This window comes from Homo sapiens, chromosome 12 (genome assembly GCF_000001405.40).
Source record: "Homo sapiens chromosome 12, GRCh38.p14 Primary Assembly".
NCBI classification, from domain to species: domain Eukaryota; kingdom Metazoa; phylum Chordata; class Mammalia; order Primates; family Hominidae; genus Homo; species Homo sapiens.
Window position 1 is genome coordinate 86279703 of NC_000012.12, and position 27573 is coordinate 86307275.

The 27573-nt window shown below is 34.3% G+C and overlaps 1 protein-coding gene across 3 annotated transcripts in view, besides 1 other annotated feature; it reads right to left on the bottom strand.

Moving 5' to 3' along the window:
- The window catches only part of MGAT4C (MGAT4 family member C), an 883334-nt gene that overhangs the window by 324036 nt on the left and 531725 nt on the right, over window positions 1–27573 (bottom strand). The gene's annotated exons all lie outside the window — the stretch shown is intronic.
- Window positions 19342–19496: a silencer, noted in NCBI's record as "fragment chr12:86692822-86692976 (GRCh37/hg19 assembly coordinates)". NCBI's record gives its function as "represses an EF-1alpha promoter that drives an FKBP-Casp9 reporter gene in an ReSE screen in K562 erythroleukemia cells {active_cell/tissue: K562}" and the evidence as "EXISTENCE:reporter gene assay evidence [ECO:0000049][PMID:32094911]".

Genomic DNA, 27573 nt, shown 5'->3' on the forward strand with positions numbered 1-27573 from the left:
TCTTATTCTTTAATAAGAATTGTTGGGTTGTTTATTTGAAGATTTTCTACTTTTTAAAATGTAGGTGCTTATAGCTTTAAGCTTCCCTCTTAGTACTGCTTTTGCTATATCCCATAGATTTTGGTAAGTTGTGTTCCCATTGTCATTTGTTTCAAGAAATTTTTCAATTTTCTTAGTTTCTTTGTGGGCCCATTCAGGAGCATACTGTTTAATTTCCATATGTTTGTATAGTTTCCAAAATTCCTTGTTATTGATTTCTAGTTTTATTTCATTATGATCAGAGAAGATGATTTATATGATTTCAATGTTCTTGAATGTTTTAAGACTTACTTTGTGATGTAACATATGGTCTAACATTGAGAATGATCTATGTGCTTAGGAGAAGAATGGGTATTCTGCAGCCCTTGAATGAAATATTCTGTAAATATTTATTCGGTCAATATTTATTCAGTCAATTGGTCTATAGTGCAGATTAAGTTCAATTTTTTTGTTGATTTTCTGCCTGAAAGATTTGTCCAATGCTGAAAGTGAGGTGTTAAAGTCTACAGGTGTTATTATATTGGAGTCTATCTCTCTCTTTAGCTCTAATAATATTTGCTTCATATATCTACGTTCTCCAGTGTTGGGTGCATATATATTTATAATTATTATATCCTGTCATTACAAATCTATTTTTTAGGTGAAGCAGTTATTTTTATTTTAACTAAATTTATATTATTAAAAGGTAACTATTTGAAAAATATAAAACCATATAAAGTAAATGTAAACTGTCCTTTTGACTCAAGATCCATGGCCTACCATTTCGGATATAAAGCTTCAATAACAGATTAATGCATATCTTTTCAGAAATGTTTCAAAAATTTAGAATGCTTTTTCATGCTTTATTGCTTTTAAATTTCATTATATAGATTTGTTTATTTATGTCTTATTGTGTCCATTATTGCTATTTGTGTTTGGAACCTCTCTTACTAGTTTACACATTTTGAATTTCTATCCTTTTTTTTTTTAAATGAAATAACCCTTTATCATTGCGAGATGATTTTCAAAAATAACTTTGTTTTCTTTTACTATGAATTTCACTTTTGCTGACTTTATTATCATCACTTCAGTTTTCTTATTGTTTACATTTACAAAGTACATATTTTATCTTATTACTTTTAACCTTTGTAGTCTTTTATGTTTAGTATGTGCTCTTGTACAGAGAATATAGTTGGTTCCCTCTTTGTTTAATGATTATGGCAATCTTTGTCTTTTAATTAGAGTGCTTAATCCATTTACCAGTAATATTATTATTGACATGGTTATGTCCGTCATCTTGCTATTTATATTTTGCTTGTCTTGTAAGTTTTGTGTTTGTTTGTTTTCTATTATCCTATCTTCTTTTTGGTTGCATACATTTTTGTTATTTCCTTTTCTGTTGTTTATTGGCTCTTTTTCACTGTGCCCCTCCCTTCTTTTGGTAGTTTTTATGACTTACGGTATACATCTTCTATTTATCAGAACAGACTCTCTTGAAATCATTTTTGTTAAAAATTTAAGAAACTTACATTGGTATACTTTCATTTTCCTTGCTAAGCCTCTGTGCAATTGTTGTCACACATATGTTTTCTCTATTTTCCCCTTCCTATCCCTCATTTCCTCCCCCTTTCCTTCCTCTCTCCATCCCTCTCAATATAAAATATATATCCATTTTGTTTCCCTATATACATAGATATGGATGTAGATAGAAATAGAGATATATCTGTATCTCTGTATATGTATCTTCAAAATGTATCATCATTTTTATTAATTATATTTTGGAGAAGTTTTATAAATAATTATTGGAAGACTTTTATATTTAATTTTTAATTTTTCTATTTTTTTAGAGGCAGAGGTCACACTATGTTGCCCAAGCTGGTCTCGAACTCATGGCCTGAAGTCATCCTCCTGCCTCAGCCTTCTTAATTGCTGGGATACAGGCATAACCCATTATGCCGGATGTTTTTTGTATAAACTCCAACTTTTATAATGTATTATTGTATTTTAACCCAGCAAACCTGATTCTGCATTCTTATCATGCAGTACTGTTTGTGGTAGGTTTTCTGAGCTTTTGTTCATGAGAAAATACTTTTATTTTGCCTGTTTTTTGTGAACACTATTTGAAGGACACTTATTTCTGGAGTATAAATTATATTTCAACAATTATATTTTCCCTTTCTTTAGCCTTTAGTGACTTCATTTTATTGTTGCTTTTATTTAAAGTATGAGACCACAGTCAATATTCTTCCCTATGTAAGTAGAATGTTTTCCCTTCTGCCTGCTTTAAAATTTTCTTTATATTTCAATTATAGCATTTTGACTATGTTATGTACATGGGGGCTTTTTAAATTTTACTTTGCTCAGTATTTGATGTGATTCTTTCATCACCAGACTAGTGTTTTCTTTCAAATTGCAAAAAGATGTTTTGCCATGAAGTAATCAGCCTCATACAATTTCTCTTTCCACCTGGAATCCCAGTGACACATAAATTAGACTGCTTAATATTTTCCACAGGTCCCTGTGGCACGCTTATTTTATTTAACACTCTTTTTCTCTACGGATTACTTTCAATGATTTACATTTTTCTATCTTCAATCTGACCAATAATTTCTTATACAATATTCTATCTGTTGTTAAACCTAATCCAATGCCTTCTTTTTGGTTTTGAATATTGGAGTTTTCAGTTCTAGAATTTTCATTTAGTTCTTTTTTGTAATAGTTACCATTTTTCTACTGAGGTTTCTTTTTGTTAATTTACTGTGTTTATATTTTTCTCTAAATACTCATTTATAATAACAAAATAAAATATTGAAACAGCTAATCCTGGTATACCAGTCATAGGTATTTGTTTCTAATGATGATACTTTTTTCTTGCTTCTCCATATATCTAGTAAATATTTATTACATATTGTGGATATTATATTGTTCAGTATCTAATTAACTGTGCTCCTTTAAAGTATTAAATTTGTTCTGGCAATACTTAATCTACTGATATATAACCTTGATTATTTCCAGTCCTGTTTTTCAGCTTTTTGTTTTGTTTTGCTTTGTTTTCGTTTTTAGTGTGATTCTAGAGTAAAGTTTATTCTAGGACTATTGCAGCCCAACTACAAAAGCTTTTCTATATTGCATATCTTTTCTGGACTCTTGATTAAATGATTCGGGTGTTTAGCAAAGCATTTTGTTATATTATACCCAGTGTGTCTTCTAGCACTATGAAACTTTAGATCAAAGCTACTCAGTATTTTTTCTAGGCAAAAACTTTCAATATATCATCTTGGGCATGTGCAACTCAGTGCCTGGTAAAAGACACCAAAGCAACATCATGCAAAGTCCTGGAGCCTTTTGTCTTCATACCTTCCATTGGCAATTACAGCCATTTCACCATTGTTGAACTCTCATTTCTGCCTCCTCAGAACAATGAGAGCACTATGCTTTTCTTGGGTTCTACCATTCTGCCTTCCACCACAATAAAAAAAAAAAAATTCTTCCAAATAGAAAAGTGATGTAACTGTGAGGTTCACCTCTTGTACTTCTCACATCCCTATTCTGTTTGTTATTCAGATTCTAAACACTGTTGCTTCACCTATTTTGTCTGTTCTTATAGTGTTTTATAGTGGTAGAGCTAGCCTGTCATGGACATAAGTGGAAATTATATATTTATGTTATATCAAGTTATATTATATATAAATAATTTCCACTCTTTAGAAATTCTTCTTCTCTCTCTTAAATACTGTACATATTTAGAACTTTTAATCTAAGACAGGACATAAGAGAAGAAAAAAATTTAAACAATCTCCACAATGGAACAAGTTTGGTTTCTTCTTAACTATTCTAGTTTTTATTAATATGATTAAATATGAAATCAAAATATAATAACTTAGCATTTCACATGCTTAGGCTAATTCTGATACAGCGACCATGGGTGATATACTGTTTGTTGATTGTTTTTAGATTTTCAAAGCTCTGAGATATAAGTGTATTCTGTTTTCAACTATCTGCCAAGAGCATAAATAGTTGAGCTTTAAAATGACACCTGGCTACATCTCTATTTGTCTAAATAAATGTCTGTATGTGACATGTTTATAGCTGTTGGAACACTGCTTTTCTTCACCCTGACAGTTCTGTAGAGATACAGTATATCGCTATATGGAATTCAAAGCATGTTCAACACTTTGTGCTAAGGCATTGCTGCCTCAAAATGTTTACAATTTGATCCTCTGCTGCATCTATTAAATCTACTACAAACATTACATGTTGCACAGGACTTTATATAGCTGAATAAAAGATAAGCATAAAGTTTTCTAAGACTTAAAAGTATTCAAACAAAAATATATTTGTATCATCTAAGCTAAATGCACTGGCTAAAAGACCTCCACACTGTTTTTGTGAATAAAGCATAACATGCAAATACACTATCCAGGGTTGGGAAATATAAATCAATGATTCTATAACAGGTTGTCTCATTTAAAAACAATTTTAAAATATTGAATACACAAACAGACTTAATAGTAGGTAAAAATAAAGGTATCCTTTAGTCTTCTGAGATGAATGTTTATATATATATAAATATATACTAAATGCACATTTTTTTCCTCTATCTCTTTACTTTGAGAAGATAAAAAGTAACAATGTGGTCCTCGCAAAGCTTCTCTGGAGACACCTCTTCTAGAAGTAGTGATTTCACCTATTTCTAAGATCTAGCCCAGGATATAATTATTTATTAGACGATTATGCTGAAGTTTAAACTAGTCTGAAAAAATCTGCCAAAAAAATACCCAAAAAACAAATCATATATCCCTGGTGAAAATATTTTATAATTCCACCCTTATCCCTTATGTTTATTATGACTTAATTATAGTAGAAGTTGTCTTACTATCAAATACTTCTAATAATTGAAAAGAAACAGTGGAATCAAATAGGAAACCATGAAAAATCATTTGTCTGTATTAAAGATTTGTTTTGACATAAACCATGTAAGTGTACACTTTTTCCTAGTTTATATTTAAAACTTCTTCTTGTGGCAATAGTCTGCTAATTAGAGTTCCATGCAGCCTTCTCCCATGTGCAAACAACCATCATGAATATACCATAATCTCCAATTTCTGTTAATTTTAGATGGAAGAAAAATGTAATTCAGAAAATCCTGAGAGCATATGTCATCTGCACAGTCAATTATTTTTTCAGTAATTTTCATCCTTATGTAATAGTATTAATTTTAGCAACTAAACTTTGGTTGTCTAAACATTAGACAAAATTTCATAGAAACAAATTCATATTTCATTTGTGCTCATATTTTTTACTGTAAATAATATTCACTAAAATTCAAAAATACCATAACAGGAACATGTTGGGCAAACAAATTTGAGATCAAACACATTTAAATCTTAATTGATAAAACAAGTGGAGGGAGTAGAAATGTACATCATCTCCAGGTACTAGCCTTCCAGTCACAAATATTCGGCTTCCTATAGATATTAGACACTATATTTTGCTGTAGGAATGAAGGGTGTTGATTCAATGAGAGTCAGTTATGTAAGGGCCTGTTAAGAGAGCTTAAAGTACCATATTCAATGTTCCTTTTATCTTGTAGAATGTTAAGCTTCATAAGAGCAGGGATGTTGACTATTGTGTTCACCACCGTGTATCCAGTGTGTAGCATTGTGCTTTGCTTGTAATAAAAATCAATATATATTTAATACAGAAAACTCATTTATACAACACACAACATACACACAAAATGCAAATAGCATACAAGAATATTTAACAATATAGGACATCAAATAATGATTCTGGGAGCTTTCCAACTATCAAATTTTGACAAAAGTTAGAAAACAATAATTACTGAAATAGAAATGAGGGAGCAACACATTTGCATATTATTGATGGAAGTGTGAATTGATACACTGATTCTGAAAAACATAATTTTAGACTACTATATGTGCTCAAAAGTCTCAAAAATATAAATATACCCCTGATGTCTTTAGAGATGTATGTAAAGATCTGTGTAAGATACTTTTTACAGTTATGCTCATGTCCATAAAAATTGCAAATTGCCTAAAGATCTAACAGAGGATTTATTAAATAAATCTTATGTATGTAATAAAATATTATAATGAAATATTATGCATATATTTCAATCATGTATTCACATATTCTTTAATGACATAAAAATGCTTACAAAACATGAGAAACAGAACTCCACATTTATAAAATCACATTGATTATAAGACATACCCACACATTCACAAAAGAAATACAACAAACCAGAAATAATTATTTATTTTAAGGGTGATAAAGTCTTTGCAAACGTTTATTGTTTCTCTTTATTTTTCTTTTTTCTATAATAAACATACTGTGTAGAAATAAGGACAAAATTGTCTTAAAAGGCAATTTTTAATTCTTGTATCCTTTTCTTGTCCTTTAAAATATCACCAGGAAACTAGCCTTGATTATTATATTTAGTGAGTTGGAGACAGGATGTGACGTTTTATACACATTAAAATGCTAGCCTAGCATGACTTTGGCTTAAATTTGAGTGTGTCACATGTGATAAAATGTTAGCAGTAAAAAGAACATTAGAGAGGCCCTAATTAAAATTCCATCTTTAGCAGTAAGTGGCCATGCACTATGTCTACATTAAGCTTTCCATCAAAATGTGTTTCAAAATTGGTAGTACTTATACTTGTTTGAGAAAGAGAAATTGCTATACAGACAATAATACAACTAACCAGCCAATATTCCTCACACTATTAAGCATGTACGTTTTTAAAACATGGCAGTAAATGAATATTCATTAGGCATGAAACCTTTAAAATTGAATATTCATGACAGTTTATAGTTTCTAAGTGAAAAGTAAATTTTTCTTTTTAAATTTTATTTTAGGTGCAGGGGAACATGTGCAGGTGTGCTATATTGGTAAATTGTGTGCTGCAGGGGTTTGGTGTACAGATTCTTTTGTCATCCAGGTAATAAGCATAGTACACAATAGGCCATTTTTCTATTCTCATTCCCCTCCCACCCCCACCCCCTTGTAGGCCCTGGTGTCTGTGGTTTTCTACTGTGTGTCCATATGTACTCAATGCTTAGCTCCAACTTGTAAGTGAGAACATGTGGTATTTGTTTTTCTGTACCCCTGTAAGTTCTCTTAGGATGATGGCCTCCAGCTCTATCCATGTTTCTGCAAAGGACAGGATCTCATTCTTTTCTGTGGGTGCATGGTATTCCATGATTTATAAGTAATATATTTGCTTTATCCAGTCTACCATTGGTGAACATTTAAGGGTGATTCCATATCTTTGCTATTGTGAATAGTGCTGTGATGAACATATGCATGCATGTGGCTTTATGGTAGAGTGAGTTATATTCCTTTGGGTATTCAATAATGAGACTGCTGGGTCAAATGGTAGTTCCTCTTTGAGATCTTTGAGAAATCACCAACCTCTTTCCCAAAGCGGTGAACTAATTTACATTCCCACCCTACACACACCAGGGAAGTGTATAATTATTTGCCTTTTCCCCCAATCTCTCCAGAATCTGTTATTTTTTTTACCGTTTAATAATAGTCATTCTGACTGGTGTGAGTTGGTATCTCATTATGGTTTTGATTTCCATTTCTTTTTTTTCTTTATACTTTTTTTTTCTTTTTAATTATACTTTAAGTTCTGGGATTATGTGCAGAATGTGCAGGTTTGTTACATAGGTATAAACGTGCCATGGTGGTTTGCTGCACCCATCAACCTATCAACTACATTAGGTATTTCTCCTAATGCTATCCCTCCGTTAGCCCCTCCACCCCACCACAGGCCCCAGTGTGTGATGTTTCCCTCCCTGTGTCCATGTGTTCTTATTGTTCCCCTCCTACTTATCAGTGAGAACATGCAGTGTTTGGTTTTCTGTTCCTGTGTTAGTCTGCTGAAAATGATGGATTCCAGCTTCATCCACGTCCCTGCAAAGGACATGAACTCATCATTTTTTATGGCTGCATAGAGCCAAAACTGTGCCACATATTCTTTATCCACTGTAATATTGATGGGCATTTGGGTTGGTTCTAAATCTTTGCTATCGTGAGCAATGCTGCAGTAATCATACGTATGCATGTGTCCTTATAGTAGAATGATTTATAATCCTTTGGGTATATACCCAGTAATGGGATTGCTGAGTCAAATGGTATTTCTGGTTCTAGATCCTTGAGGAATTGCCACACTGTCTTCCACAATGGTTGAACTAATTTACACTCCCACCAACAGTGTAAAAGTGTTCCTATTTCTCCACATCCTCTCCATCATCTGTTGTTTCCTGACTTTTTAATGATCACTATTCTAACTGGCATGAGATGGTATCTCGTTGTGGTTTTGATTTGGATTTCTCTAATGACCAGTGATGATGAGCTTTTTTTCATATGCTTTTTGGCTGCATAAATGTCTTCTTTTGAGAAGTGCCTGTTCATATCCTTTGCCCACTTTTTAATGGGGTTGTTTTTTTCTTGTAAATTTGTTTAAGTTCCTTGTAGATTCTGGATATTAGCCTTTTGTCAGATAAATAGATTGCAAAATTTTTCTCCCATTCTGTAGGTTGCCTGCTCACTCTGATGATAGTTTCTTTTGCTGTGCAGAAGCTCTTTAGTTTAATTAGATCCCATTTGTCAATTTTGGCTTTTGTTGCCATTACTTTTGGTGTTTTAGTCATGAAGTCTTTGCCCATGCCTATGTCCTGAATGGTACTGCCTAGGTTTTTTTCTAGGGTTTTATATGGTTTTAGGTCTTACATTTAAGTTTTAATCCATCTTGAGTTAATTTTTGTATACGGTGTAAGGAAGAGGTCCAGTTTCAGTTTTCTGCATATGGCTAGCCAATTTTCCCAACACCATTTATTAAATAGGGAATCCTTTCCCTATTGCTTGTTTTTGTCAGGTTTGTCAAACATTTCCATTTCTTTAATGATTAATCATGTGGAGCATTTTTAGTATATTTGTTGACCACATGTAAGTCTTTTTTTGGAAAGTGTCTGTTCATGTTCTTTGCCCTCTTTTTAATGGGGTTGTTTTTCCCTTGTAAATTTGTTTAAGCTCCTTAGAGATTCCAGATATTAGACCTTTGTTGGACGCACAGTTTGTAAAAATTTTCTCCCATTCTGTAGGTTGTCTGTGAACTTTGTTGATAATCTCTTTTGCTTTGTAGAAGCTCTTTAGTTTAATTAGGTCTCATTTTTTAATTTTTGTCTTTGTCACAATTGCTTCTGATGTCTTTGTCATGAAATCTTTGTCAGGGCCTATGTTCAGAATGGTATTGCCTAAGTTGTCTCCCAGGGTTTTTATAGTTTTGGGTTTTGTATTGAAATCATTAATCCATCTTGATTTTTGTATATGGTGTAAGGAAAGGATCCAGTTTCAATCTTCTGCCTAGAGCTAGCAAGTTATCCCAGCACCATTTATTGAACAGTAAGTCTTCTCTCCATTTCCTGTTTTTGTCAACTTTGTTGAAGACTAGATGATTGTAGGCGCATGGCATTATTTCTGGGCTCTCTATTCTGTTCCACTAGTCTACGTGTTTGTTTTTGTACCAATACCAAGCTGTTTTGGTTACTGTTGCCTTGTAGTATAGTTTGAAGTTGGGTAATTGGATGCCTCGGGCTGTGTTCTTTTTGCTTAAGATTACCTTCACCCTTTGGGCTCTTTTTTAGTTCCATATGAGTTGTAATTTTTTTTTTCAAGTTATCTGAAGAATGTCATTGGTAGTTTGATAGGAATAGTAATGAATCTGTAAATTGCTTTGGGCCGTATGACCATTTAACAACATTAATTATTTCTATCCATGAACATGGAATGTGTTTCCATTTGTTTGTGTCACTTCTGATGTCTTTCAGCAGTGTTTGGTAATTCTCCTTGTAGAGATCATTCACCTCCCTGGCTAGCTGTATTCCTAGGTATTTTATTCCTTTTGTGGCTATTGCGAGTGGGATTGCATTCTTGACTGGGATCTCAGCTTGGATGTTGTTGGTGTGTACAAATGCTACTAATTTTTGTACACTGGCTTTGTATCCTGAGACTTTGCTAACGTGTTATTTTGCTTTACTATTTTTAAAAATTTTAGGTTTTTACTGTTGAGGAAATTGTTTTCCCAAATTCATAGTTAACTCATAGATCATAGTCTCCTTTGCATTTGCTTTGAAAACATATAGAAAGTTAATAAAATGTGGACTTACAGGCCCACCCATAACCACTCTGTAGGTTAGCATCCATGCTTTCTTTTTTCCTTAAAAAGAGACATCATAGGTCATACTGAAAAGACAATGGAGTTACTAGCTAGAAGGATTCTGAATATCTAAATCACTTTTTTTTTTTTTGAGACGGAGTCTTGCTCTGTCACCCATGCTGGAGTGTAGTGGTGCGATCTCTGCTCACGGCAACCTCTGCCTCCCAGGTTCAAGTGATTCTCCTGCCTCAGCCGCCCAAGTAGCTGGGATTACAGGCATGCGCCACTGTGCCCAGCTAATTTTTGTATTTTCAGTAGAGACGGGTTTGGCCAGGCTGGTCTTGAACTCCTGGCCTCAGGTGATCTGGCTGCCTCAGCCTACCAAAGTGCTGGGATTACAGGTATGAGCCACCGCACCCGGCCTCTAACTCACTTTTTAGATAAAAGCTACGCAGGAGAGCAGCAGCACAATCAGTAATATCCCAATTCAAATTTGCATGACAAATATCACGGAGGGTTTGAGATTTGCAGTAGTCAGCATTGATTATACAGACTAATAAAAAAACTGGATCCTTAAAGTGAGATATTGACAAAACAAAATTGAAACACATATTATTAACTTAGTAGGGGGTGACAGATTGCAAGAGAATAAAGTAGGTTGGTCCCTTGGTGATTAAAATGAAAACACATTTTAAACCATAACCTGACAAAATCATTTGTGCATCAAACCCCAATGACATGCAATTTACCCATGTAACAAACCTGTATATATCGCCTCTGAAGCTGAAAGTTAAGGAAAGAAAAAAAAAAAAAGAGGAATAAGTTAAAGTAAACAATAACCACAAGAAACCATAACCCATGGTAACTTGGAAGGCAGACCAAAGCTGACTCAGTTTATAGGTCTAAAAGTGTTTGAAAAATACATTCTTGCGGTATGTTACTATTATTGACAGTTTTAGCAGAGTATTACAAGAAAGAGATGAGCTCAGAAAATAATTAGCAGATTTAAAGTGAAGTGAAAGGGAATAAGGAAGCTCGGAAAAAGGTAAGAGTTGAAATTTAAAATGCTTTGAACAACCAAGACCCAGAGAAATTGGGTCAGCTGAACAGTGTATCATATTTGTGCCAAAGATCAGATAAAGCACATGTTCTGCCCACTCAAGCTTGATGGTCACAAGCTTATCTGACTTTAAGGTGAGATACAAAGAGGCATGACAGCAAGATAGCAAAGAAATGAAACATAGTTGAGAATAATGTCTGGTGGTTTGAGCTACTTGTACCTGAAACTGACTGGAAGCAAATAGTTTGCCAAGTTCTTAAAAGATTTATATTGCCAAATAGCCACAAGTCCGGGTTAAAAAGTATTTGACTCTGCAATCCTAGAAAGAACTCTTGGACATGAGCATGAACATGAGATGGGTTCTGTAAGCTGGACAGCCAAGAAATAGATATTTTTAATGTGTAATTTAGATAAAGCATGGAGGATGAGAAGAAATAGCATTCACTAAATTTGGTTTTCTTAACAAGGTAGTTACTCCCAGGGAAGATCAGGTCTAATTGAGAAGCTTTCTTTTTTTCACCAGGAAGTGGGTCCTCACAATATGTTCTTAGCTGGATTCCATAAATGCCATGGATCAATGACTTCTGTGTGCCTTCTATTCTCGTGTTTTCCAAATGCGGGTTGTTATTGATATTAGTGTATCTGTATCTGTCATTATGTATATATGAAGGATCCAGGGGCAGAATAAATGGATTTTTAACATGCAGATTACAAAGCATGAATATGCTACTACATGTGGACCTAACATAGGTATCAGGTTGGTGCAAAAGTGATGGCAAAACCCCAATTACTTTTGCACCAACCTAATAACTGCAATTAGCCAAAGATTCCGGAAATAAACTGAATACTGTGAATAGGATTTGGGGGTAAGTGGAAGATATGAAAAATAGCACTAATGAAATACTGGGTGGCCAAAGGGTAGACTATAACAAAGACACTGCTCTATTTTTATCAAAGCATATCTACCTCCTTTTGGACTCACAGTTAAAGCTATGATTTCAGGCCCCATTTCAATTAGCTTGGGATCATATGACTAACTTGTGTCCACACAATTTTATGCTTGATTCTCCACATTCACCTCCTTAAGATAAAGACAGAGACATTTGAGGATTGTAGGAGCCTGTTGTTACTGCTTGGAGGCAAACCACTCAGGAAGGAATTAGCAACAGATGAAGTTTATTAAGCCACTGAGATTTCTGGATGTTTGGTGGTGGTGGTGGTACAGCAATTAGTGTTAATAACTCTGAATAATATAAATACATTTTAGCAAAAATATAATGAAAAATTATAATTTTATAATGAACTATTAAAATATTTTTTTAAAATATCATATTTTAGATATATAGATATAACTACTCCTTTAACTTACTAGAAAGAGGTTTAAGCTTTTCCTATTTCTGTGCAAAGACATCAAAATTCATAATTTTTCAGTCTATTATTTAAAGAATAAGAAGAAAAACCCTACTACTTTTTTTTTTAGTGAAGAGATCAGGAGAGCTATTCCATTTGGAAAACACTGATTTTCAGCAGGGCCCATTTTCCCCCAAATTCAAGGAACACAAAACAAGTTAATTCAGAAATGTGGATATAGATGACTGTCTAGAAATAATTAATGATAACTTCTGAAGAGCTGTCATAGGTAATGTGATGTCTTTAAATTAATAACAGTTTACATCACCCATATTGCGTTCCACGAAAACTGCTGTTCCATTCTATTTGACCTTAATTGGTATAATTGATAACAGCTACAGCTTGGAGTGTCATTTTAATCATGTTGGTAGAAGTCTCCTGACAGAAGAAAATAAAATCGCTGTTGTGAGTTATTTATTATTAGTGGGAAAACAGAAAGGTAAAAGAAATGACTGTTTTTTTTTTTTTTAAACCTGCAACTTTGGGACTTCTAAATTATAACAGGCAATTTACTAATGGGATTAAAGGGCTTGTGCTAATTGCTAAAAAATTAATGAAAACTAGTTCATATGTAATTTGACATAATTGAAAAAATGAGAAAATTAGTTGGTTGCAGGTTAGAGATATCAATAAACAATTCAAGACAAAGAGAATATTCTAAAATGTTCTAAACGTTAGTACGACCCCTGGTGAATAAGATTTCTATAACAGATATGCTGTTTAGCGCTGATTATTTAAAAGTTCAATTTTTAAATTTGAAGTAGAAATTGAAAATTATGCTAGTTATAAATGTGACTATTTCTTGCTGATTTGAATGGGTTGTTCAGTGTGTGCATGGAGACAGTGTGTACATGGGGTTAAATGTTGAAAAAAATAGATATTGTTAGTTTAATAGTCTTTTTGTGATAAACAGAGTCAATAGTGAGTCTCCTAAGCCCTTTTTCTACCAAATATTGCTGAATTATTATAAGATAATGAGCTGGTCTTTCCAAGAAAACATTTTGTCTCTCACCTTTATCACTACTTTTTAGATATTTCTTTCTGTTTTTAAAAAAATAATAGGAAGGCAAAATTCAACAATAGGAACTCAGGATTTTAATTTTTTTGACAACTGAAAAATGTGTACTCTACCTATTGAAGAAATCTGAATTCTGAGCCATTTCTTATTTCTTGCTTTGTTCTTGTTTTTTAAATTTGAGTAACATGCATTGTCTCCTTTATGACTTATAACAATTGAGTCATTATGATATGTTTGTAGCTTAGTGTGTGATATGGTTTGGCTCTGTGTACCTATCCAAATCTTATCTTGAATTGTAATCCCCACGTGTCAAGGGAGCACCCAGGTGGAGGTAATTAGATCATGTTCTCATGATAGTGAGTGAGTTCTCACAAGATCTGATGGTTTTATAAGTGTTTGGAAGTTCCTCCTGCATTCACTCACTCCATCCTCCTGACCTGTGAAGAAGGCATCTGCTTGTCCTTTGCCTCCTGCCATGATTAAAGGTTTCTTGAAGCCTCCCCAGCAATGCGGAACTGTGAGTCAACTAAACCTCTTTCCTTTATGAATTAATCCATAAATCACAATTGTCTCACTTTTCTTCTTTGATTCTTTTGCTCTAACTCCTAGCAACAAAATCTCCCATGATGCAGTGTTAACTCCACCAGTGCACACAAAGATCATGACAAATATTACAGGACATAGAATGGTGCCTGGCTCATAGCACTTTAGAAATTAAAAAACAATATTAAAAAAAAAACCACCTATGCAGTTCAACTGTAACTTAGACTTCTTTAGAAGCTATTTTACTTAGCTAACTCGTGGCTAGTGAAATCACTACAGCAGTGGACATGTTTGGGGGCCTCCTTTCCCATCCCTCTCCTGGATTGTCTCTAATTAAATTCTTTCATGTCTTTATCTGTATCTTCCTAGCTTTCGTCTATCATGGGGGAAAAGGTGTTATTCACACTCACTAAAACTCCTTTTTTTTTTTAATCTAAATCCTTGCTTTTATCACTCTTCTTATTCCAGAACTTTGCTTCCAAATTTATTATCTTCCTGTCTAGCACCACATGCCTCTTCGATTGCGCTTGTTCTCCTCTGCATGCAAATACACGCAGGGCTTGACTGTTCCGAAAATCAAAACAAAAAGAGAACAAAGTACTTCATTTTATTCAACTGTACTTTCTCCCAGACAATCTGGTTTTCTCCTTTCTGCAACTGTACAAAATTGTAAAACAAGTAATGTGAAATATTCAGTAAAGTTTTTATCTCTGGTTTGTAGTCAGCATTTGTTGGGGGGGAAAAAAGTTAAATACTTTTAGTTTCCCAGTTGTCTCAAACCTGTGACTCTTATTTCTTGTCCCAGTATCAGCAGACTATTTGGTTCCTATTTTGCAATAATAGTATTTATTTATCAGAACTCCCTCAACTCACTACTTCCAAGATTGCAAATTCACCTACATTTGCTCCCACCATTTTCCCTTCCTTCTCTATTACAATGAAAGCTTTTTATCAAGGGCGCCCCGTAAAGTCTTTGTTCACTTCTGCCCCTTCTAATTCCCACTTTAACAATATTTGTCACATAAATCTTCTTCAATAATTCCAAAATTTCTCAGTTCATCTTTCTGACTTCCAATCAAGTCATCACAATTACATGGAGAATGGTTCTTTAAAGCACAAAATGGTCCTATAATAATAATGCCTTTGCTTAAAATCCCTTAACTACTTATTATTTTATTCAGGCTTTTAATCTCAATATATTTTAGTTCTCTGAAAAATAGCCATAAACAATTTATTTAAATAGTATACATATTTCATTATTAAACATGGACATTTTGTTCTAGCCTTAGTATTCTCTTAAAATTCGATTTCCAAAGCTATAAAATTATTTGTGATAACTTTTATTTTGCACTATTTGATAAAAGTAATGTGCCTGGAATTGGTGGTTTGTTGGTCTCACTGACTTCAAGAAAGAAGCCGCAGACCCTCGCGGTGAGTGTTACAGCTCTTAAGGCAGCGCGTCTGGAGTTGTTCATTCCTCCTGGTGGGCTCGTGGTCTTGCTGGGCTCAGGAGTGAAGCTGCAGATTTTCGCAGTGAGTGTTACAGCTCATAAAAGCAGTGTGGACCCAAAGAGTGAGCAGTAGCAAGATTTATTGCAAAGAGCGAAACAACAATGCTTCCACAGTGTGGAAGGGGACCCCAGCAGGTTGCCAATGCTGGCTCTGGCAGCCTGCTTTTATTCTCTTATCTGGCCCCACCCACATCCTGCTGATTGGTAGAGCCGAGTGGCCTGTTTTGTCAGGGTGCTGATTGGTGCATTTACAATCCCTGAGCTAGATACAAAGGTTCTCCACCTCCCCATCAGATTAGTTAGATACAGAGTTTCGACATACAGGTTCTCCAAGGCCCCACGAGAGCAGCTAGATACAGAGTGTGGATTGGTGCATTCACAAACCTTGAGCTAAACACAGGGTGCTGATTGGTGCATTCACAAACCTTGAGCTAAACACAGGGTGCCGACTGGTTTGTTTACAATCCCTGAGCTAGACATAAAGACTCTCCAAGGCCCCACCAGAGCAGCTAGATACAGAGTGTCAATTGGTGCACTCACAAACCTTGAGCTAAACACAGGGTGCTGACTGGTTTGTTTACAATCCCTGAGCTAGACATAAAGACTCTCCAAGGCCCCACCAGAGCAGCTAGATACAGAGTGTCAATTGGTGCACTCACAAACCTTGAGCTAAATACAGGGTGCTGACTGGTTTGTTTACAATCCCTGAGCTAGACATAAAGGTTCTCCAAGGCCCCACCAGAGCAGCTAGATACAGAGTGTCGATTGGTGCACTCACAAACCTTGAGCTAAACACAGGGTGCTGATTGGTGTATTTACAATCCCTGAGCTAGACATAAAAACTCTCCACGTCCCCACCAGACTCAGGAGCCCAGCTGGCTTCACCTAGTGGATCCCACACCAGGGCTGCAGGTGGAGCTGCCTGCCAGTCCCGTGCCATGCGCTCGCACTCCTCAGCCCTTGGGCGGTCGATGGGACTGGGCGCCGTGGAGCAGGGGGCGGCATTCGTCAGGGAGGCTCCAGTTGCACAGGAACTCATGGAGGTGGGGGACGGCTCAGGCATGGTGGGCTGCAGGTCCCGAGGCCTGCCCGGTGGGAAGGCAGCTAAGGCCCAGCGAGAAATCGAGCGCAGCGCCGGTGGGCTGGCACTGCTGGGGGTCCCAGTACACCCTCCGCAGCCGCTGGCCCGGGTGCTAAGCCCCTCACTGCCTGGGGCCCGCAGGGCCGGCCAGCGGCTCCGAGTGCGGGGCCCGCCAAGCCCAGAACTCCAGCTGGCCCGCAAGCGCTGCGCGCAGCCCCAGTTCCTGCTCGCGCCTCTCCCTCCACACCTCCCTGCAAGCTGAGGGAGCCGGTTCTGGCCTTGGCCAGCCCAGAAAGGGGCTCCCACAGTGCAGTGGCGGGCCAAAGGGCTCCTCAAGTGCCGCCGAAGTGGGAGCCCAGGCAGAGGAAGCGCCCAGAGCGAGCGAGGGCTGTGAGGACTGCCAGCACGCTGTCACCTCTCAGTAACAGCCAAAGGTTAAAATATTTTCTTGTAAAAAAGGCAGATAAAGACAAGTTTAAGTTGTAGATATCTAATTTTCCCTGGAAAAGAAAATATTTCCCTAGTGAAGTAAAGAAAATTTAAATATACAGTAAAAGAACTTTACAGAAGATGTGACCCCAATGAAGGAAATAGAAAAGATAAACATGGAAGTTTAAGTAATACTTTATTTTCACCATTGACAAGGTGACTTAGGCTTTCGAATCCTACAAAAAGCTCTGAATATTTAAGAATAACATTAGCTTGTGAATATTTAAGAATCATAATAATTATGTCCTGGAGAGTTTATTTCTGTACAACAGTGGGAGGCAAGATTTTATGTAGCTCAATCTTTGAAGCACGGTAATAGTATGATTTTGCACGTGATATGCAAATGTGTATGTGTATATACTTATATATTTACACAAAATGTTACTAAAAGAAAAAATACATTTTATATAGAATTTTACCTTACATATTATTTTATTTAAACTACATTTGAGTCTGTGCACATTAAGGGAGAAAACTGTAAAAGCAAGTTAGTTGCAGAATGATTAAGAAACAAAATCTGAGTGTAGACTTTCCAAATCCCTTGTGGATTGATAATGCTATGAATGTGTGAGAGACTAAAGAGATTTCCATTGAAAAACTCTAAGAAACCAGGAGGAGGGTCTGATCCTAAAAGACAGAGTTGGTGCTGATAAGATTTGGGTTTGTTGCACCTTTGACTACTATCAACTCATACACAGGTGGTTTATGAAAACCCAATGCAATTTTAACAAAAGAAAAAAAGGGAGGATCGTTCATCCTATCTATTCAGACACACTATAAAGCCACATTAATACAAGCATGTTACCAACATACATAAATAAAACAGAAAGGAGAGGTCATTTAAATATGAGAGCTTGATGTTTGATAAACATGACATCAAAAATCAGTGCAGAAATAATGGATTTTAAAGTCAGTGATGGGAAAAAATGATTTACTATGTGAAAACATATATATAAAGATATGTGGATGTAATTGATAGGTTGTTATATAAATACATACATGCATAAATACATGCACACAACTAGTAGAAGACGGTGAACAGAAGAGGGTGTAGGGCAATAGGTCATGCTTTGGAGAAAAACTTAATAAAAGCCCTAAAGGGTAAAAAGCAAAAGTTAAAAAAAAATCAATGGGTTTAACTGTATCAAAATAATGATTTCTATTCAATGAAGTACAAAATTATGCAATTCACAGCAGTAAAAATCTAAATGGTTAATAAACATAAAATATTTAACTTATTCATGAAGAACAAAAATACAATAAAAATGTATTATTTTTCATGTTTAAATCATCAAATATTATAAAATGGGATAATATTTATTTCTTACAGGTTTGTCATGAGATGGCAACTTGTATATAGCATTGGAAGTCAGGTAAATTTGCTGCAATCTTTCTGAAAACCGATTTAATGTTATACATCAGCAACTTTTATATGTTCATAATTTATGACCTAGGAATTCTATTTCTAGAATTCTGTCATAAAGGAAGCATCAAAACAAGCATAAACAAGTTTCTCATAACATCATTTATTATAATAAACACTGGAAGAAACCTAAAACCTCAAAAATATGGCAAAGCTTAAATAATTAATGATGGTCTTTCAGATAAAGCTGTGAAAAATTGTTTTGGAGAAATTTTAATGAATTTTTAAAATTCTTATATTAAGTTGGAAAAAACATACTGAGAAACCTGTTGTGTTGAAATAAAACAGTAATCATGGTAATCTATTTATTCTGGAAGTCAACTAGTAGACTGTAAGCAAGAAATGAGAATATTGTATTTTACCTCTAAATACTCAACAGTCCAGCAGTTAGTATATCTATACCAATCACTCAATAAGTGGTTATTAAGAGAAAAAAATTGAATTTAAATTTATTTATATTTTCTATACTTTTATGTAATCTGGAAATTATCACCAATGAGTGCATATCCTTTTTATAATCATAACACATAGTACTATTTAAAACATATATATGTTACAACTCCCTGTAAGGGTTGGGAATAAATATGCTCTTTGCTTTTCTTTGCTGGAGTATAGTTAAAGAATCAGAAAATTTATAGAATACTCTGATCTTTTCAGTAAATTTATTTATTTATTTATTTATTTTTGAGACGAATCTCGCTCTGTCGCCCAGGCTGGAGTGCAGTGGCGCGATCTCGGCTCACTGCAAGCTCTGCCTCCTGGGGTTCAGTTCATTCTCCTGCTTCAGCCTCCTGTGTAGCTGGGACTACAAGCGCATGCCACCAGGCCCAGCTATTTTTTTTGTATTTTTAGTAGAGACGGGGTTTTACCGTGTTAGCCAGGATGGTCTCCATCTACTGACCTCGTGATCCGCCCGCCTCGGCCTCCCAGAGTGCTGGGATTACAGGCGTGAGCCACTGTGCCTGGCCTCTTTTCAATAAATTTCTACCTGAAAATGTCTCTTTTATATATTGGTAAATAAATATGTCAATGAGAATTTAGAAATGAAGAGAGCTTGTTTGTCCTTTAGTTTGGGTCAATAGAGACAAACAATTTTTAATATATTAACTCAGCTTTCTCTTTTGGGTTTGTTAGGAATTTTTAATACAAAACACTTTTACATTCATGAACTTGATACAGCTCAAATAATGAAATTATATAATATTTAATGTAAAAGCTTTCTAATTTACAACTGAACTGTTTTTTGTTCAACATATTACACAACAATATAAAAGGTATTTGCTTTGGGACAATATGCCAAATTATATCTTCTATATTGAGCTATAATTACATAAAGGAGTATATTTTACTTCTGTGTGCAAACTGAGATAAAATTGTTTAAATATTTAGCATTCTGTTTTTATTCCCATTTACCTAAGTAATAAGTACTGTGTCAGAAAATCAAGTGGAAGAGGAGACTGGAAATAGGCAAAGAATCTGCAACAAAAATCAATATTTAATAAACTTTGCATTTTAAGAAAAGAATGAGTATATGCCCTTTGCAGTAGATTTAACTCAAACTTATCAATTTCAGACCTGAATTTCAATTTGCTGAGCAAACTTTCTCTATTTGGACATGTTTTCTTCTTTTCTGGCTCAGCTTCATCTCTACTGATGCCTAAAGGATTTGTGTGAGTTGGGTTACATTTACAAAGCACCCAGTGTGAAATGGCATTTTATTCTCTGTGCATCCAATTTTTTTCTATTCTTTTTCTTTGTTGTTAGTTGGAAATTGACAGGAGTTTCACACTGTGATGCAGGTCATCAAAAATACCTATCATGGAATACATACATACTTTCTTTGATTAAAAAGTAAATTGTAGCAGAAACTGGTTGTCAGCTTCTGACCATCCAGATATTGTCACGAAATTTAAAAAATGAAACAGACTTAGGAAACTCCATCATCACTTAAAGTAAAATAATAAATTGTACATGGCCATTCAAATCAGTAATTCTGAAATTGATCAAAATCTGTCTAGGTATATATAGAGTACATATTTTTAAATGGAATGGGAAAGACAGAAAAACAAAAAACAAAAAACAGAGAAGGGTGGTTCCTTCATGACAAGAACAAATGTGAAGTGATTGTTTTAACCAAGAAGTGATAGCACTACTAAGCAGCTTCAAGTTACATATATAATCAACTAGTAAACATTTTGTTGTTAAAAAGCATTAGCTTGCATTGTAGCTTTTAAAAAATATATATAACCTGCCATGTAGCAAAAGATCCCCCCTCCTCATCCCCCACTCTAAATTTTTATGAAATCTGTTTCACTTGCATTTCATAAACTGAGTATAAAATAAAGTTGTACTGCAAAAAATAGCAAATCAAGTCAAATGGGAGCTACTGAGAGATAAAAAGTTATGTTAGATATGATCCTCGATTAGGAGTATTTATAAGTCATTTGTTTCAGTCTAAGGAGGGATATCTAAGAACAAGTAAATCAATTCAAAACAGTGGGGAACTTGCTCTAAATTAGCTATTTACTATGTGCTATAGGGTCATAGAAGAGAGACTCAAATTCAATCTCGTGGGAGCAGAAAAGTAAGCAGTAATTGACATTAACTCTTTTTAATTCTACTTTTCAACCCTTTACAATTTATCAAGTGATAGTGCAATGTGTTGGTCCTCTTTAACTCATTCACGCCCAGGGGCTCACTAACAGTGAGAGGTGTGACATATAGACCATCTCAAAGGGTTGCTAGAGGAAAGAGATAATGTTAAGCTGGTCTTTGTAACTGAAAGAGTCTTGTAATTACTTTCATAGATAAGAATCATTTATCATGAGCTCATTTATTTTTTATCAGTGATATTTTCAAGCCTTTAAAAGTTTGCTAAACTTCACTCTTGAGTATAATAAATAATTTCCTTGTTTACATTACCAATTTGCTTGGAAAATGGTTTCTATTTTACACATCATAGAAAGTCAATTCCAGTTCATACTATGGTTATCATGAGCTACAAATCAGTAGTACTCTAAAATACATTGTACTTAATGAATGATATGCTCCTTGGTATAGAAATATTTCTGCTTTTACATTTGTGTTCTTCTCACCAAATCAATGACACAGTATTTGAGTGGATGTATCTTCTAGTTGATTTTGTTGTTGTTGTTTTGTTTTGAAAGACAAATTATCCTCTATTTTCATCTGACCTCTGCATATGGATGTGTGATATATGTCAGGATGACTGTACAATTCTGTTATAAACTGTTTCTACTGTAATAAGAAAACAATGAAACATACTCTAACATATCATGCCATATTTCTTCACATATTAAAATATTTTTCTCATTTTAATACTTCTCAAATCAAGATTCATCCTAAATTGCTACGTGCACTGATGCAATTTTGCAGACAAAATGTACAATCAAGGTTTATGATATATCTTATATTAATGGAATCTTAGAATTGATAACATGCAGGATTCACAAGAATATCTGCCTATAGGTGAAAAGTCAACATCAACTCCTGTGACTTCCTAAAGAGAAATTTATGTATGTTCTGCATTGCTGCAATATTTCATTAATCTATTTTAATTACTTATGAAACTCTAGAATAAATCTATTTTTAAATAAACTTTTTTTAAATCTTAGCCCCAAAGTAGGTTTAAATTCAGTCATGAGAATTATTCTTTTCCAGAATCAGTGTTTTGCTCCAGTGTGTAAGCACACAAGAATTCAAACTTTACGGCAATAGAAATAGATTAGATATAAAGATTCTTTAGCATACTTCAAATAAATCGAAGCCTTGAAACATCTAATTAAATAAAAACAGTTGAAATTTTTAAAAAATCAGCAAATTATAAATATACCTTAGGAGAATTTGATTGCCTCTATTGTACAAGAATCCATAATTTGTAGGAAATTGACAAGGAGACAGAATAGGCAGTTGCAGGGTTTTTGTTTGTTTGGTTGGTTGGTTGGTTGGTTGGTTGGGTTTGGTTTGGTTTGGTTTTCGAGACGGAGTCTCATTCTGTTGCCCATGCTGGAGTGCAGTGGTGCAATGTGGGCGCACTGCAACCTCTGCCTCCCGGGCTAAAGCGATTCTCCTGCCTCAGCCTCCCAAGTAGGTAAGATTACAGGCATACGCCAACGTGCCCCACTAATTTTTGTATTTTTAGTAGAGACAGGGTTTCACCATGTTGCCCAGGCTGGTCTCGAATTCCTGATCTCATGTGATCCACCTGCCTTGGCCTCCCAAAGTGCTGGGATTACAGGTGTGAGCCACCGCACCAGGACAGCAGCCTCTTTTATTTATTTGTTGTTGCTATTTACTTACTGATCTCACCCGATTCATTTTCTACCTTAGGAAGATTACAGAATCTGAGACTGCCAGTCGACCAATGATTTCAACAGTTGACATACTTCTGTTAGATGAATTTGAATTGAGGAATGGTGGTGTGAGGGATGAAAGCTAAGGGATCAAGATTCCAAGAAGCAATGACAAGTTTTACCTTGAGGAAAGGAATTCAGGGTCTAACTCTTCCCGCACATTTTGTGAAGACATGAGGTTCTTCCACCAGCTCAGAATAGAACTTCAACTATTTTTCTCCCTTCGTTTTCTGATATTAATTTTACTTCTCTATTTTTCTCCTATTTTTACAGTATTCTCACTGTAACTCAACATTTTAACCTCCATCCTTTGTGGAGCTAATTTTAGTTTATTGCTATAATAAAAATGAAGACAGGAGAACTTAGAATTTGATATAAACTGATATACCTATTCTTTTAAGGTGAATTAATCTAAGATGTTATTATTAATTGATTATGTCTGTATTCCTTTCTCCAGAGCTCTGAAACCATGCCAGCCTCTCTGAATTTTCAAATTAAAATACAAAACATAGAATCTAACAGCATTACTTGGATATATTTATAAGCTATTAAATCTTTAAAGGAGACCATTAGCTGCATTGTCCCTATAGGAATAGATGAAATCAGAATCTTATAGTAGAGTTCCATTCGAAAATTCTATTAATATCTCTTCCTACCTTGAGTCAGATCTTATACAGCTGGGATTTTAAACTAAAATTTTATAGGTATAACTTGGAGAATGATTGAAGGAAGACACTTAAAAAAAAAAGAATAAAACTACTGCAATCCAGAGTTTAAAAAAAAATCAAATTCTTTTCTCTGGCCTCATCAAGCTATGTAACCTTAAATAATTCTGGCTCTTGGTTTCTGCATATAGTAATGAAGGCTATTATATTATTACCTTCTGTATACAGAAACATAAAAATTAATCCCTTAAAATTATATTACTTATGATTAATACACTAATTTCATTTTACTTTTGCTAGAACATATTAGTTTTCAATGGATTAAATATCTAAGAATGTGGTAATTTTTACTTTGTTACGTTGTGAAAGCCAATGTCTTTCTCTCTCCATCCCTCTCTCTGTCTTCGTCTGTGTGTCTCTTTCTCTCTCCCTCTCCTTTCTCTCTCTCAACCTCTATATATCTGTGTCATATTTATTTACTGGAATAGAAAGTAGGCATTCCAAGTAAAGCTTGAGTTGATAATAGGTAAATGTCTCACAAATACACAAGACAAATAAGTTATATTTCCTCATAGAATTTCAGTACTGTTAGCAGTTTTTATTCCTTCTTGATGTTAAATTTCCATTTGAAATGAGAAAGTGGCTTTTCTAGAACTATAATTAATAATCAAAATATTTGAGGCTGTATTATATCAGTGTCAAAAAATAAAAATTGTTTTCAGCTTTCCAAAATGATTTTTGCTGGCAGATAAGCTTTTTTTGTTGCAAACTTGTGTAAGTTCACTCTTTGAGCTGATTTTTTCAATCAGTAATGTTCTGCTGATTTTGTGAAACAAGTTGTTGTTATTTTTGGCATTTTTGTGAAAGAGCTTGAAGGAAACAATCATTTACATACTCTACTTTCTATCTGATAATTTCTAAAGCTATTAGATTAAGAGAATAAGAAAAAATAGCAAAATCAAAAATTTATACTTATTCCAACTGTCAAAACTTATATGCATCATCAAATATCCTAATATATTTAAGAAGAAATGACCAAGCTTTTAATCATGCCATTGTTTCTTACATATTCAAAATGGGAAATATACCAAATGTCATGCATCCTATTCTATGAGTTTAATTGTTATCTTCCAAAAAACTGTTTAAATTTTAACCCTATGTACCTGTGAAGATGACCTTACCTGAAAATAAGTTCTTTGTAGATTTTAATAAGGTTAAGATGAGGTCATTAGGGTGAACCTTAATCCAATATGACAGATGTCCTTATAAAAAGAGAAGAGATGCAGACACATGAGAGGAGAACGCCATATGGCAATAGAGCCAGAGATTAGAATGCTGAAGATGCAAGTCAAATGATATTACCAAATGGCAGCAAACCACCAGTAGCTGGGAAGAAGGAAGAGTTCTCCTCTACAGGTTTCAAGAGCATGGTCCTGCCATCACCTTGATTTCAGACTTCTAGCCTTCAGAACTGTGAGACAATAACTTTCTGTTATTTTAAATCACCTAGTGTATGATACTTGTTATGGCAGCCATTAGGAAATTGACAGATATCTGGTCTTTATCAAAAATAAATGTAGTTTTAATTCTGATTTAAATTAGGTTTGGTTTAAAACTGAATATAATGATGTCCAACACTTCACTTGAATAGTAAGTTAAGAAACGCTGTTAGGCCTGGTGCAGTGGCTCATGTCTGGAATTCCAGCACTTTGGGAGGCCGAAGCAGGCGGATCACCTGAGGTTGGGAGTTCAAGACCAGCCTGACCAACATGGAGAAACACCATCTCTACTAAAAATACAAAATTAGCCGGGCATGGTGGCGCATGCCTGTAATCCCAGCTACAAGGGAGGCTGAAGCAGGAGAATCCCTTGAACTGAGGAGGCAGATATTGTGGTGAGCTGAGATTGCACTATAGCACTCCAGCCTGGGCAACAAGAGCAAAACTCCGTCTCAAAGAAAAAAAAAAAAAAAGAAAGAAAGAAATGCTGTTATGTTTTGATTATGGGAATAAAGCCTATATTATTTTTAACAAATTTTTTCAATGTTCTATGTAACAATTTTAAATTAAATACCTCTTAAAATAATATATATAGTCATTCGTTGGTATCCATGTGATATTGGTTCAAAGACTCCCCATGAACACCAAAATCTGCAAATGTTCAAGTCTTTTATGTTAAGTGGTGCAGTACTTGCATATAATCTATGCATATCCTCCTCTATACTTACGTTTATCACTAGATTATTTAGAATACCTAATACAATATAAATTATATGTAAATAGTTTCTATGCTGTATTATTACATTTGTAATTTTTCTTGTTGTATTGTTATCTTTTATTGTTGTTGTTTTTTAATATTTTCAATCTGTGATTTGTTGAATCCAGGGATGCGATATCAGTGGATATGGAGGGGTGACTGCACTTACTTACTTTTATATAAAGTTGTTCACATTCACCCTTTACCCATCTTTAAAAGAAATTGTTTTACTTTCAGATGTACATTATATCTTTAATGTATATCTCTCCTCTATCGAGGAAGATGGAAAGATACATATTGCAAGAAAGGTTGAATTCATATTGATTAGGTAAGAAAGTCTAATTTCCAAATTAGAACTTGATAAAAGAATACAATTAGAGATTATAATCACTTTGAGAAAAAGATCTGGCAGTGTCCTATAAACCTCAAGATTCACCTCTTATGACCCTACAGTTCCACTCCTAGGAAATTACTCAAGAGAAACAGAAACATAGGTCTACACACACTTATCAAGAAAGTTAATAGCAGATTTAAGCAAAATAGGCAAAAACTGAAATCTTCCTAAATTGTCATCATCAGAATGGATAAACAATGTGTATATAATAAAAAACTGTTTAGCAATAAAAATGAAGTAATTATTGATATATACAATAACATGGATTAGTCTCATATAAACCATGCTAAATGAAGGAAGTCTTACACAAAAGAATACATGTAGTATACTTTCATTGATAGGAATTTCTAAAAGAGACAAAATTAATAAAAATATTGATTACCTCTGGGGTTGGGTGGTGAAGTGTTTGACAGTAAAAAAAGTATGAAGGTATGAAGGTTTTTCCTTTGTGATGATAAAGCATGTTTTGTACCTTGACAGGTGTTGGATTGAACAGGCATATGCAATTGTCAAAATTAATGTAATAATATGCCTAGGATTTGTGCATTTTATTCTGTGGAAGTTTAATTGTAAAGTGAATTGTAAACAAATAATGACCTTTACATATATACATGCTAAGGTATGTAGGGGAACAGTGCAGCGATTCTACAAATATTTTTGAAATGTAGAAAATAATAAGATGATTGAACTATAGACAGATAAAGGGATACGTGATAAAGAAAGTATAGTACAATGTAGCAAAATATAAATTAGGTACATTGTAATATTAGTGAGTATAAGGGTATTATGAAATTCTATTTTTCAGTATGTTTGAAAATTTTCATAACAAAATGTTGAAAAATTTTAATAAGAAAAACTTACACACACATATGCAGAAATCATTTTTAGAATGATTTTTCTAGTAGATTCAATGAAAAATGTCACTTCTATGTCCAGAATTCTTCAATCATATTGATCCAGAGCCATTCATGATAATTCTTTAAAATAGAGATACTCTTTGAATTCAAAACAGGTAACTGTCAGTTAAGATAGTTTGCTTATTAAAAGGTTCTGCTAAATGTCTGTATTTATTATAATAACTGTATTAGATTTGTCTCATAATAATTATGAGAAATTATCTTTATAGTGTTGTGGCAAAT